The 15,311-nt window shown below is 41.4% G+C and overlaps 2 long non-coding RNA genes across 3 annotated transcripts in view; one reads left to right on the top strand and one right to left on the bottom strand.

Annotated features, from left to right (window-relative positions):
• The window catches only part of CYP1B1-AS1 (CYP1B1 antisense RNA 1), a 50,751-nt gene extending 37,826 nt beyond the window's left edge, over positions 1-12,925 (bottom strand). The window contains exons 1-2 of the long non-coding RNA NR_027252.1: positions 12,840-12,925; positions 12,416-12,519 (exon numbers count right to left, since the gene is read on the bottom strand). This is a non-coding gene — a long non-coding RNA (CYP1B1 antisense RNA 1). The remainder of the gene's footprint in view (positions 1-12,415; positions 12,520-12,839) is intronic.
• LOC107985871 (uncharacterized) overlaps positions 1-15,311 on the top strand; it is a 62,078-nt gene that overhangs the window by 28,364 nt on the left and 18,403 nt on the right. The window contains exon 2 of one of the 2 annotated variants that reach the window (XR_007086290.1): positions 3,559-5,535. This is a non-coding gene — a long non-coding RNA (uncharacterized LOC107985871). Of the gene's footprint in view, positions 1-3,558; positions 5,536-15,311 lie in introns of those variants that run through there. The other variant, XR_001739413.2, reaches the window with a different exon arrangement.

Below are 15,311 nucleotides of genomic sequence, written 5' to 3'. Positions count from 1 at the left end.
GAATTTATATGATTTTGAATCATCAGTGTGTAGGTGGTGATTGATTGAAGCATAGGGTGTAGATGAGACTGCCTAAAGAGAAAATATAGTGTGAGAAAAGATCAAATATAAGATTGAGCCATGAAGATCTATGACATTTAAAAATCAAGTAGAAGATAATGAGTGTTAAAGAAGGTGGACAGAATCCCAAAGAAGTAGTAGGAAAACCCAGAGATCATTGTGTCACAGGAGCCAAGAGAAGGGAGTTTCAAGAATTTACAATAACCAGCACACAATCAGAAATTACTAGATATGTGAAGTAGTAGCAAAATGTTACCTATGTCCAGGAAAAAAAATTAACAAAAAATAGAAACAGACCCAGAGATGTTGGAATTAATAGACGAAGACTTTAAAACAGCCATTATGCATATGTTTACAGGTTTAAATAAGATAAACCTAATGAGTAAACAAATGGATACTCTCAGTAGAGAAATGAAAATGATAATAATAATAAAATATCTCAAATAAAAAGTTCACTGGATGGGCTTAGCAGCACAGTGGACACTGAAAAAGAAAGGATCAGTGAACTTGAAGACAGAATAGTAGAAACTATCCAAACTGAAGCTAAGAGAAGAAAGGCTAGAGAGGTAGTCTCTGTTATCTGTGAAATGGTATTAAGGGTTCAAATATTAATGTAATTAAAGTCCCAGAAAAAGAGGAGAGAGAGATTTGAGAAAAAAAAAGAATAGAGATTGGAGATAAAAAAGTTTTGAAAAAATATGCAGTCAAAATTTTTTTCCAAATTTGATGAAAAATATCAACATGAAAATCCAAGAAGTTCAATGAACACCAAACAGGAATGGAAAATGATGGCAGCTGCTTGACTTCAAATCTCCCCATACAACTTTAAAAACCCTTAAAATAAATAGAGTGAAAATAGAAAATAACATTATGGCTTTAGCATTACTAAGAATTGGAGAATACTACAAGTTGTAAATGATCAGCAAGTAGAAAAATGCATCATATTCTAACAGCTACCTTTTGCCTTACTGCTTCAAGCCTATGGATATGGAAAGTGAAGTAGGGAAGTATTAAAGAATGGTATCAAAAATAGTAGAGGGCATTAAGGACTTACATAAGGTATGCACACTCTCAAAAGAAAGCCCAACTACGTTAAGAAATGCTCTACGCAATTTGGAACTTGGCAGTTCACACCACCAGCTGCAGGGAAAAGATTTGAAATGAGTGAGGCCCAGAAGTGGCAGCCCTGGAGAAGCACGGCTTCTTAGGGAGAATGAGATACAGAGAAGTGGTGGTATTCCTCGGTGAAATAGCAATGAAAGGAAAGAAAAAAGAAAAGATAAAATTAATGTTTCTAGGAAGAAAGACACAGTAGTCCCTTTCTTTTTCTTCCTAACTTCACCATCAACATCTTCCATAAAAGAAACTTCACAGAAAAGGGCAGAACTGAAAGGAAATGCTGATGTCACACGATGAACTCTCTCCACAGAATGAAGAGGTACAGAAAAACCGCAGTCATATCCAAATAAAACTGTCGTAAAAAGTGAACCAAGGTAATTCAGCTGAAGAAAATACTCCCTCACCTCAGGGGCAGGGTGTGGTGGGGGGAACAATGAGCTGAGGAAAACTGTAACATAATACTCCCACAAAAATTAATTTTCCTCAAAATAGAATTTGGAGATACGTAAAAAGCATCAGAAATATAAAACTGAATCAGAAATATAAAACTGAATCAGAAATATAAAACTGAATCAGAAATATAAAACTCAGCAACACAAATAGATCAAGAAAGAAGAAAAGGAAGAAATGAAATGATAGTCATTGAACATAGGAAGAATATCAAAGAAAATGGCAAAATCATACCAGAAATGTAGACAAAATTATGAGGCCCAAGGGAGAATAAATTTAAATGGAAATTTAACAAAAGACATTGAAGGAAAGCAGGAGAAAACAAGAGAGCAAAAAGGAGGTAAAGAAAAAAAGAAAAAAGGTCAGAGGAAAGTGATCGAAGTGGAAGACCAGCCAAGGATGTCCAACTGGAGTTCTTGAACGAGGAGAGCAAAACAATGGAATATAACTATTATTTAAAATTATAATCCAAGAAAACTTTCTGGAAATAAATCAGGAATTGAATCTACAAGTGAAAGGGTTCACTTGAAAAAGTTGACCTGGCATTATTATAAAAGTTGACCTGGCATTATTATATCAGAGCCATATCCTAGTAGAACTGCTAAGCTTTAAAGAGAAAGAAAAAAATCCATATGGCCTTTTGGAGGAAACATAAAATAGCTTGAAAGGAGAAGAGGATTTGGCTGACATTGGATTTCTCAACAACAACATATAAAGCAAGACGTGAGTGAAGCAGCTCTTTGAGAAGCTTGAGAAAATGCAAGTCAAGAACTTTATATCTAGCCAAGCTGTTCTTCAAATGTTAACAATATAGAAAAGCAGTTTTGAAGACGAAAGAACACAAGAATACTGTGCCCACGTGTCCTTTCTGACGAATCCACTGCAGAATTAAGTGTACTTTATTCAACTAAGAGCTGACTGCAGACACTTCAGCAGGAGGATTGAAGGTGGGCTTCTACATATTTCATATATAGATCTAGGACTAACACAAGGTTGGAGATATGGGTATAAGAATGGTAGTTAAACATTGCATTTTCTAACAGAATAGAAACAGTACAATTTTTAAAATGGGAGAAGTGGGTAAGAACGTAGAATAAGATCATTGAATTTACACTATAAGTAATAGCCAAAAGATATGGTAAAAGGTTAAAAAATTCTTAAAAAGGTAATAAAGAGTACTACAAAGGTAACCATTAGAACAAAATTAAACATTTTCCTAAATACCAAAAGGAATTTTCTAAAAAGGAAAGAAAGTACACAAAGAGCATTTTAAAAATAGGTTTGATGATTAAATTCAGCCAAAAAAAGAACTGGTTTTTCAGTTTATTTTATACAAAACAAGAAAATTACATGCAAGTGGTAAGCTCCTATGCACCAAGTGTTTAGCTTAGAAAAATAAAATACTCCTAGGAAACAATTTATCTTTTGTTCACAGGACAGTCAAATAGATCTAATAGCGCATCAGTTCTAGATGAGTACTTAAACCGAATGAAAAGCAGCCCAACAGCAGCTACTTTGCACCAACCACTTACTATGTCTAGCTTGCCTGCTGGTCACTTTATAGTAAGCCTTCACTGCAACACTGAGGCATTATTTTTATGGATGAGCAAACTGAGGCTCAGAGAAGTTAACAATTAGCAGTAGGTCACTTCATTATAAATGGCAGAACCAAGCTTTAAGTATAAGTGTGTTGACACCAAGGCAATGTGTCTTTGCTACTTTGTGGTAGGACACTGTTTTCCTTCCATATCTCTTTCTGTCATCAGGTTCTAGCCCAGAATACTGGCCATTTTTTAGCTATTCAGTGCGAGCATTGAGTGAAATTGTGAATTTGCCTGTCACTGACTCCAGGGAAGAGACGAGTCAATCAACTCTGACGAATCAAGATTTCCAGAAGATCTAAAGCCCCCTTGCCTCTCTTTTTCTCAGCTACCCATCAAATAAGAGAACCCATTGCAGAACCAGAAGGGACATCATCCAAGCTGTCTGAAATCCCGGTTGGTACTCCAGGCTTCAACAACTGCAGCACAATGAGAGACAGCAAAGAACATCCTGGCCTTTGACAACCCCCTGTCTTCTAACATACTGAGGTTAATCAGACCGAGGACAATTTGGAAGGGGCTCTCTGCCACAACTTGGGGAGTGGAGGTAGGGAAGGCCATAGGAGCCCCAGCAGGTAGGCCACATAGCCTGAGTTATGGAATCTAACTCCAGTCTGTCTTCCAAATATTTCTGGGGTGTCAGATCTATGGTAGCCTGAGAGGCATATTCTGAAGCCATTTCCCTCCTAGAGATCTCGGACTTCTTTCAGCTTCTTGATGTTATTACACTAAGAGAATATGAACACCTCCTTACAGCAAATGCTGTAGTTATAAAACAGTTCACCAAAGAACCTATGTTTCCTTGAAAACCAAAAGACAATGCAAAAAGAAAAATCATTTTAAAAAAGATCTTCAAAAAAGGCTTGATAATTGCATAATTTAAAGGACCCCAGGGAAGTCTCAATGCTACATAGGTCCTGGGAGAAGGCACCTGAACTACATGCCTTGGTGAACTGCATTTCTTTTAGCTTCTCTGCTTGGAATCATGAGGTCCCTAGCGTATGCTGAATTTTGAAGGCTGATGAGCGTTTTGGGCTCTTCCCTGCTGACATCACCCTATTTCCTTGGGGACCCCAGGCTCTCAGCTGTAGAAGACTCTCAGACAGACACACATTGCCCAAACATGCTACCCTGCACACGTGCTAAACTCTGAGGCTCCTGTGGAGTTGTGTGTCGTACTCCTCAGCTCCAGACCACTGTGTCCTGCCCTGGCCTCCACCCAGCCCTGATGGAGGCCCCAACATATGTGCCTCAACCCACACAGGCCCCAGAGTTTGGCAAAGTGTCCCACACGCAATAACTTTTGAGTCAGTGGTGCCTGCCCACCCACCTGCCCCCACCCCCACCTTCCCCACCATCTGCAATGTCTGTCTTGGAGCCTACTGATGAACTAATTAATGTATCTTACATATTCCTGATACGGTAAATTCATGGGCTCAGGGAAGCGTATTTTGTATTTTTTCTAATTTGTGCTTCCCCTGGACAGTTCACCAATACCCTGCTGCAGGTGCTTACATTTAATGTCATCAGGAAGCAGTGAATATAAATGTGCAATAAATGCGCAGCTGTCCTTGGGTTCTGCACAAGCAGTACTTTAAAAGTAAATAATGAGCTAAAAGAACAAACTTAGAGGGTAATTTCCAACCTCCTTCCTGTCTCTAACACCATGAAGTTTCACTGTATCGGTTGCATCTTTTGGCATTGTTCATATACTACGTGCCTGGATTCTGTTTCTTGAACTTGTTGGGAAATGGAATCATACTGGGGATGGCTCCGAGTTCCTTATAACCATAGCATTAGTTTCAGAGTGTTCCCTATAGTAATAATAAAAAGCTTCAAAACATGCTGAAAATGTTTTAGAACATGGTAGCTTCAAAGACGTTTGTTAAAAGGATAGGCTGGTCTGCATGGTGGCTGTTTTACTGCTTTTCTAAACTTGGGTGAACCCCTGGAGGAGAAGCCCCAAACAGGGTAGTTCCACCAGCCCAGGATGCAGCAAGGTGGACAAATCACAGGTCTGCTGGAGACAAGTGGTCAAGAGAGCATGGGTCACTGCTGAGCAGAGCCGGGGTCAGGCAGGTTGAAGGAAAGGCACAAGCAAAGGACACCTCTCTGTCTGCCATAATGCCAAGGTCATGCTTCTGCTGCCTGGAACTTACTTTCTGTCAGGCAGGAGAGACTCATATTTCTTCTCTTTAAGACAGGACGGGGGAGGAGCCAAGATGACCGAATAGGAACAGCTTCGGTCCACAGCTCCCAGCGTGAGCGATGCAGAAGACGGGTGATTTCTGCATTTCCAACTGAGGTACCGGGTTCATCTCACTGGGGAGTGCCGGACAGTGGGTGCAGCACACCATGCACGAGCCAAAGCAGGGCAAGGCATCGCCTCACCTGGGAAGCGCAAGGGGTCAGGGAATTCCCTTTCCTAGTCAAAGAAAGCAGTGACAGACAGCACCTGGAAAATCGGGTCACTCCCACCCTAAGACTGCACTTTTCCAATGGGCTTAACAAACGGCACACAAGGAGATTATATCCCGCGCATGGCTCAGAGGGTCCTACGCCCACAGAGTCTTGCTCATTGCTAGCACAGCAGTCCAAGATCAAACTGCAAGGCGGCAGCGAGGCTGGGGGAGGGGCGCCAGCCGTGGCCCAGTTAGTTGTTTGATTAAGCAAACAAAGCAGCCGGGAAGCTCGATCTGGGTGGAGCCCACCACAGCTCAAGGAGGCCTGCCTGCCTCCCTCTGTAGGCTCCAACTCTGGGGGCAGGGCACAGACAAATGAAAAGATAGCACTAACCTCCGCAGACTTAAATGTTCCTCTCTGACAGCTTTGAAGAGAGTAGTGGTTCTCCCAGCACGCAGCTTGAGATCTGAGAATGGGCAGACTGCCTCCTCAAGTGGGTCCCTGACCCCTGAGTAGCCTAACTGGGAGGCACCCCCCAGTAGGGGCGGACTGACACCTCACATGGCTGGGTACTCCTCTAAGACAAAACTTCCAGAGGAAGGATCAGGCAGCAGCATCTGCAGTTCACCAATATCCACTGTTCTGCAGCCACTGCTGCTGATACCCAGGCAAACAGGGTCTGGAGTGGACCTCTAGCAACCTCCAACAGACCTGCAGCTGAGGGTCCTGCCTGTTAGAAGGAAAACTAACAAACAAAGGACATCCACACCAAAAACCCATCTGTACGTCACCATCATCGAAGACCAAAGGTAGATAAAACCACAAAGATGGGGAAAAAACAGAGCAGAAAAACTGGAAACTCTAAAACTCAGAGTGCCTCTCCTCCTCCAAAGGAACGCAGCTCCTCACCAGCAATGGCACAAAGCTGGACAGAGAATGACTTTGACGAGTTGAGAGAAGAAGGCTTCAGATGATCAAACTACTCCGAGCTACAGGAGGAAATTCGAACCAATGGCAAAGAAGTTAAAAGCTTTGAAAAAAAAATTAGACGAATGGATAACTAGAATAACCAATGCAGAGAAGTCCTTAAAGGACCTGATGGAGCTGAAAACCAAGGCACGAGAACTATGTGATGAATGCACAAGCCTCAGTAGCTGATGCGATCAACTGGAAGAAAGGGTATCAGTGATGGAAGACAAAATGAATGAAATGAAGCGAGAAGAGAAGTTTAGAGAAAAAAAATAAAAAGAAATGGACCAAGCCTCCAAGAAACATGGGACTATGTGAAAAGACCAAATCTACATCTGATTGGTGTACCTGAAAGTGACGTGACGGGGAGAATGGAACCAAGTTGGAAAACACTCTGCAGGATATTATCCAGGAGAACTTCCCCAATCTAGCAAGGCAGGCCAACATTCAAATTCAGGAAATACAGAGAATGCCACAAAGAAAATCCTCCAGAAGAGCAACTCCAAGACACATAATTGTCAGATTCACCAAAGTTGAAATGAAGGAAAAAATGTTAAGGGCAGCCAGAGAGAAAGGACGGGTTACCCACAAGGGAAGCCCATCAGACTAACAGCTGATCTCTCGGGAAGCCCATCAGACTAACAGCTGATCTCTCAGCAGAAACTCTACAGGCCAGAAGAGAGTGGGGACCAATATTCAACATTCTTAAAGAAAAGAATGTTCAACCCAGAATCTCATATCCAGCCAAACTAAGCTTCATAAGTGAAGGAGAAATAAAATACTTTACAGACAGGCAAATGCTGAGAGATTTTGTCACCACCAGACCTGCCCTAAAAGAGCTCCTGAAGGAAGCACTAAACATGGAAAGGAACAACCGGTACCAGCCACTGCAAAAACATGCCAAATTGTAAAGACCATCAAGGCTAGGAAAAAACTGTACGAGCAAAATAACCAGCTAACATCATAATGACAGGATCAAATTCACACATAACAATATTAACTTTAAATGTAAATGGGCTAAATGCTCCAATTAAAAGACACAGACTGGCCAATTGGATAAAGAGTCAAGACCCATCAGTCTGCTGTATTCAGGAAATCCATCTCACGTGCAGAGACACACATAGGCTCAAAATAAAGGGATGGAGGAAGATCTACCAAGCAAATGGAAAACAAAAAAAGGCAGGGGTTGCAATCCTAGCCTCTGAGAAAACAGACTTTAAACCAACAAAGATCAAAAGAGACAAAGAAGGCCATTACATAATGGTAAAGGGATCAATTCAACAAGGAGAGCAAACTATCCTAAATATATATGCACCCAATACAGGAGCACCCAGATTCATAAAGCAAGTCCTTAGTGACTTACAAAAAGACTTAGACTCCCAAACAATAATAATGGGAGACTTTAACACCCCACTGTCAACATTAGACAGATCAACGAGACAGAAAGTTAACAAGGATACTCAGGAATTGAACTCAGCTCTGCACCAAACAGACCGAATAGACATCTACAGAACTCTCCACCCCAAATCAACAGAATATACATTCTTTTCAGTACCACACCACACCTACTCCAAAATTGACCACATAGTTGGAAGTAAAGCACTCCTCAGCAAATGTAAAAGAACAGAAATTATAACTAACTGTCTCTCAGACCACAGTGCAATCAAATTAGAACTCAGGATTAAGAAACTCACTCAAAACCCCTCAACTACATGGAAACTGAACAACTTGCTCCTGAATGACTACTGGGCAAATAATGAAATGAAGGCAGAAATAAAGATGTGCTTTGAAACCAAAGAGAACAAAGACACAACATACCAGAGTCTCTGGGACACATTCAAAGCAGTGTGTAGAGGGAAATTTATAGCACTAAATGCCCACAAGAGAAAGCAGGAAAGATCTAAAATTGACACCCTAACATCACAATTAAAAGAACTAGAGAAGCAAGAGCAAACACATTCAAAAGCTAGCAGAAGGCAAGAAATAACTAAGATCAGAGCAGAACTGAAGGAAATAGAGACACAAAAAATCCTTCAAAAAATTAATGAATCCAGGAGCTGGCTTTTTGAAAAGATCAACAAAATTGATAGACCGCTAGCAAGACTAATAAAGAAGAAAAGAGAGAAGAACTGCATAGATGCAATAAAAAATGATAAAGGAGATATCACCACCGATCCCACAGAAATACAAACTACCATCAGAGAATACTATAAACACCTCTACGCAAATAAACTAGAAAATCTAGAAGAAATGGATAAATTCCTCAAACACATCCATCCTCCCAAGACTAAACCAGGAAGAAGTTGAATCTCTGAATAGACCAATAACAGGCTCTGAAATTGAGGCAATAATCAATAGCTTACCAACCAAAAAAAGTCCAGGACCAGATGGATTCACAGTCGAATTCTACCAGAGTTACAAAGAGGAGCTGGTACCATTCCTTCTAAAACTATTCCAATCAATAGAAAAAGAAGGAATCCTCCCTAACTCATTTTATGAGGCCAGCATCATCCTCATACCAAAGCCTGGCAGAGATACAACAAAAAAAGAGAACTTTAGACCAATATCCTTGATGAACACTGAAGCAAAAATCCTCAATAAAATACTGGCAAACCTAATCCAGCAGCACATCAAAAAGCTTATCTACCATGATCAAGTGGGCTTCATCCCTGGGATGCAAGGCTGGTTCAACATATGCAAATCAATAAATGTAATTCAACATATAAACAGAACCAAAGACAAAAACCACATGATTATCTCAATAGATGCAGAAAAGACCTTTGACAAAATTCAACAACCCTTCATGCTAAAAACTCCCAATAAATTAGGTATTGATGGGATGTATCTCAAAATAATAAGAGCTATCTATGACAAACCCACAGCCAATATCATACTGAATGGGCAAAAACTGGAAGCATTCCCTTTGAAAAGGGGCACAAGACAGGGATGCCCTCTCTCACCACTCCTATTCAACATAGTGTTGGAAGTTCTGGCCAGGGAAATTAGGCAGGAGAAGGAAATAAAGGGTATTCAATTAGGAAAAGAGGAAGTCAAATTGTCCCTGTTTGCAGATGACATGATTGTATATCTAGAAAACCCCATTGTCTCAGCCCAAAATCTCCTCAAGCTGATAAGCAACTTCAGCAAAGTCTCAGGATACAAAATCAATGTACAAAAATCACAAGCATTCTTATACACGAATAACAGACAAACAAACAGAGAGCCAAATCATGAGTGAACTCCCATTCACAATTGCTTCAAAGAGAATAAAATACCTAGGAATCCAACTTACAAGGGATGTGAAGGATCTCTTCAAGGAGAACTACAAACCACTGCTCAATGAAATAAAAGAGGATACAAACAAATGGAAGAACATTCCATGCTCATGGGTAGGAAGAATCAATATCGTGAAAATGGCCATACTGCCCAAAGTAATTTACAGATTCAATGCCATCCCCATCAAGCTACCAATGACTTTCTTCACAGAACTGGAAAAAACTACTTTAAAGTTCATATGGAACCAAAAAAGAGCCCGCATTGCCAAGTCAATCCTAAGCCAAAAGAACAAAGCTGGAGGCATCACGCTACCTGACTTCAAACTATACTACAAGGCTACAGTCACCAAAACAGCATGGTACTGGTACCAAACCAGAGATATAGATCAATGGAACAGAACAGAGCCCTCAGAAATAATGCTGCATATCTACAACCATCTGATCTTTGACAAACCTGACAAAAACAAGAAATGGGGAAATGATCCCCTACTTAATAAATGGTGCTGGGAAAACTGGCTAGCCATATGTAGAAAGCTGAAACTGGATCCCTTCCTTACACCTTATACAAAAATTAATTCAAGATGGATTAAAGACTTAAATGTTAGACCTAAAACCATAAAAACCCTAGAAGAAAACCTAGGCAATACCATTCAGGACATAGGCATGGGCAAGGACTTCATGTCTAAAACACCAAAAGCAATGACAACAAAAGCCAAAATTCACAAATGGGATCTAATGAAACTAAAGAGCTTCTGCACAGCAAAAGAAACTACCATCAGAGTGAACAAGCAACCTACAGAATGGGAGAAAATTTTCGCAACCTACTCATCTGACAAAGGGCTAACCTCCAGAATCTACAATGAACTCAAACAAATTTATAAGAAAAAAACAAACAACCCCATCAAAAAGTGGGCACAGGATATGAACAGACACTTCTCAAAAGAAGACATTTATGCAGCCAAAAGACACATGAAAAAATGCTCATCATCACTGGCCATCAGAGAAATGCAAATCAAAACCACAATGAGACACCATCTCACACCAGTTAGAATGGCAATCATTAAAAAGTCAGGAAACAACAGGTGCTGGAGAGGATGTGGAGAAATAGGAACACTTTTACACTGTTGGTGGGACTGTAAACTAGTTCAACCATTGTGCAAGTCAGTGTGGCGATTCCTAAGGGATCTAGAACTAGAAATACCATTTGACCCAGCCATTTGACCCATTACTGGGTATATAGCCAAAGATTATAAGTCATGCTGCTTTAAAGACACATGCACACGTATGTTTATAGTGGCACTATTCACAATAGCAAAGACTTAGAACCAACCTAAATGTCCAACAATGATAGACTGGATTAAGAAAATGTGGCACATATACACCATGGAATACTATGCAGCCCTAAAAAATAATGAGTTCATGTCCTTTGTAGGGACATGGATGAAACTGGAAACCATCATTCTCAGCAAACTATTGCAAGGACAGAAAACCGAACACCCCATGTTCTCACTCATAGGTGGGAATTGAACAATGAGAACACATGGACACAGGAAGGGGAACATCACACACCGGGGACTGTTGTGGGGTGTGGGGAGGGGGGAGGGATAGCATTAGGATATATACCTAATGCTAAGTGACGAGTTAATGGGTACAGCACACCAACATGGCACATGTGTATATATGTAACAAACCTGCATGTTGTGCACATGTACCCTAAAACTTAAAGTATAATAATTAAAAAAAAAAAAAGACAGGACGATAATACACATTTGGTGATACAATTAAGAAACATGATATTGGAAAGTTGCTGACCAAGTGCCACCTAGCATTCCTTCTCTTGTACTAGCCACATGCCCACTCCTCATGGCTACTGCTAGCCTCATCTAAGAACTGGGGACCCAGCCTGGCAGGATAAGTGTGGCTCCATGCTTTAAGCCAGAGAATTTAGGAGACTATGATCTGTTGCTGTGTCAATCTGAAAGCTGAGGGATCTGAAGGGTACGTGGTACCCATTCTCTGACTCTCACTCCCAAAAGTCCTTTTCTCCCTGGGTCAACATACGGTTGGTGCCCAAGGCCCTTCCTAGGAATTGGAAGCCAACAGTGACACAAAGCACTTAGGAGGCACACAACCACAAATGTGTGAGGTTTGCCTTCCCATATTTTCTGGACCCATGTTCAAGCCTGGAACTCTCTAGTTCATAAAGGGTTTTACTCTTGCAGGAGTCAGCAAACTATGGCCTGTGGGTGGAGGGCCAGATGGGGCCATGCTCATTCATTTACATACTGTCTAATGGTTGCTCAAAAATCACAGAGTTGAGTAACTAAGACAGACTGGAAGGCCCACACAGGCAAAAAATGTACTATCCGGACATCCACATAAACAGTTTGCAGGCCACTGATTTAGAGTAAGACCAGTTCTCCTGGGGGCAATGGATTGTCTTTCTTTGCTTTCAGCCTGACCAATGCCCGTGGGTAGGGATGGAGAGGGAGCCCATCTCTCTAGTTGATTCTGATGAGAAGAACCAGGGTGACCCACCTGGAATGTGAGCCTCTGATCTTCCAGGCATCTGGCATGCCCATTTCTTCCACAGAGCAGGATAGAAGCTCCTCCCAGCAGGGGGTCTTGACTATTTGAGACCACTGTAAAAGAAAAGTAAGAACAAGTGATTCACGTTTGTGTTTCCTGTAAAAAGAACATGGTTGTCAGTGCTATTAACCTGGTTACCACTGACTTTGACGCAGATACAGCCGGTTCATGTTTCAGAACTTCATGAAACAGGCCTGTGCCTTCAATCAGAGGCAGCCCAAAAGACAAAATTGCCAACACTTTCTATTTGCAGTGGCCCAGGAATTATCAAATAACCTTAGTTCCTATTAAACTCCTGCCTATTTACCATTGCCTAAACCTGGAGGCAAAATCTAAATCCAAACCATCACAGGTAATCTCCAATCTCACATACTTTTCCAAAAGATTCATGTGTTAGGAAAGGATGATTGATGGCTCAAAAGTCACCAGTGCCGATTCTTGTGTTAGCAACCATAGTTGAAGTCAATGCTTAGAACTGGCGTGGGAAGATGTTCTCAAAACTGCAGCTTTGTGCCTTTGTGGTTATGTAACAGCCTCCTCCATACAGAGGATTACTACGAATGGGTGCTTCCTGCTGTTGTCTCATGTTGATGAGGCATTTTATATTCTTGAGGAATATTCTGGAGGGAGGAGGTTGGTGAAGACTGGTAAAGTAGAGAAGAGAGACATTTTAACAAAATATTCATATTTATCTGGTCTCTAACATGAAAGCTGCATATTTTGTGGTATATTAATTAAGTCATTTTTATAAGTTATAAATGATACTAGTACAGTAAGTCCTCACTTAATGTCATCGATAGGTTCTTGGAATCTGTAACTTTAAGCAAAACAACATGCAGCAGGTTCATAAATAATGTCACTTCCTTTAACGTTTTGTTATAACGTTGATGAGAAAAAAACGCTTTTGTTACATGTCATTTTGCTTAAAGCTATAGTTTCCAAGAAACTGTCGATGACATTAAGTGAGAACTTACTGTATAATAACATTATGTTAGAGTTTAGTGGGCTCCCAAAAGATCTTCTCTTACCAGGTAGACAGTTCTCTCTTTTAGAGATAAAAGAATTGAGCCTCACAGAGGCCGTATGAGCAGTCAGAGTCCCACTATGTTCCCACCTACCATTCACCACTAAATCCTTAGTCTGGCTGCAGAAAACAGAAAAGATTTATTTCCTCAAAAGTCAACTTCTTTAGACTACATTGACCCTAATAGAATTCAGAAAGCAACTCTTAGACTCAAATTTTTCTGCTTATTGCCACCACCACACTCCCCCAGTCATATGACAAGAGTCGTTTGCGGTAGGAAGCAAAACCAGAAATGCACTTGAGCAGTCTTTCTATGTCCTTCCTTGCCTCACCCCCATTGGGGGCCTGCATGATGGTGAGTGGCCACATAAACAGTCCCTACGTCTCCAGGAGTTCCCTTGGCCATGGCTGCTGGAATGACTCATCCTTCTCCATCTGTAGCCTAGGCTTTCCCCTTCTCCTTAATTTCCATGAGGGAGCAGTCTTAGATCAGAGCCTCCCCAAGGGGACAGGACCACAGCCCTCCCTAAAAGGTCCTGGATCTGGTATAAATCTAACCATGGGAGAAAACAGAATTCAGTTACAGACAACATCAAGGGCAAACTTGAAGGGGAGCAAAAATCACAATATGGGTGTGGGAACTGGACCACAGAGTTACAGTGGTCATTTCCTCCCCACCACATCTTGTGAACTTTACCTTGCCCACTGCCCCAAGGGGCAACCATGTGGCTCATGGCCCTGGCCACCAATAACTGAATTGGGAGTAGACCCACTTTAAACATGACCCACTTTAACCAATCAGACATCTTTATCTAGAACTTGGAGTTGGGACACAGAAAGCCTGAGGGTGTTTTTTTATCTGTGAGTGCTAGACTCACAAGATTCTGTGGGCTCAAGGACTGAGTTAGACAGTCATTTAAGGTCATGTGGTAACAGAGTATGCTTGACGAAGGGGGAGGATGGAGCAGAGACAAAGATAACTGAGAGAAAGGGAGGAGGAAGGGCAGCTCCAGACTCTAGCCCTTCAGTGATCCAGGTGCAATTCTTCAAACTGGGTTTCACAGTATTCCGTTATCACTGTGCAAGTAATCCCCATTTACTTAAGTTACTCTGAGTGGGTTTCTGGCCCTAGCAACTGAGTGCTCCCCCACCATAAGATGAAATGGCTAGGCTGGAGCTGGGAGGCAGAGGCAGTGAGTGAGGAAGCTAGACGGATTTTTCCAGAGAAAGTAAGTCCTAGAGTCCAAGCATATGCACGCTATCCACACGTTCCAAATTTTAGGAGACAGCCCTGTTTCAAATGTGCCAGCTTGCCCAAATTTCTGTTTAGGCAATTGTGGTATATCTGTTTATATATATAATTTTAGCATTGGGAAGGCCCTCCTAAGTAAGACACAAACCTGGAAACCACAAAGAAAAGAAAAGATTGACAGATTAGACTACCTAGCCCTAAATTTTAAATTGCCTTTGACAAAAGCCACCATCAGCAAAATTAAAAGTGAAGGGGCAGCTTGGGATCTAAGTGACAGCTGGAGAGCCCCTGCACACTACAGACTCCCTCCTGCTGCAGATCAGACTTCTGGACAAGTCCAGCCCTGGCTTTGTGGCTGTCATGACTACTGAAAATGTCGTAACTGTTGGCAGCAAGAACATGACCTCTTGCTGTCCCAAAATGAGGAAATGAAAGGGAAAAAAGAGGAAATGGGATGAAATGAAAAATGGATGCAAACAACAGAGAGTGAGCAAGAAACATTGAGAAAGATGAAAAAAATGAGCTGTTTATCTCTCCTCTGCTTCTGGGCCCTCTCCTTTGTGCTACCC

Source organism: Homo sapiens, chromosome 2 (genome assembly GCF_000001405.40).
Source record: "Homo sapiens chromosome 2, GRCh38.p14 Primary Assembly".
In the NCBI taxonomy this organism is placed as follows: Eukaryota; Metazoa; Chordata; class Mammalia; order Primates; family Hominidae; genus Homo; species Homo sapiens.
Note: the sequence above shows the minus strand (reverse complement) of the source record. Positions and strands in the feature narration are given on the sequence as shown.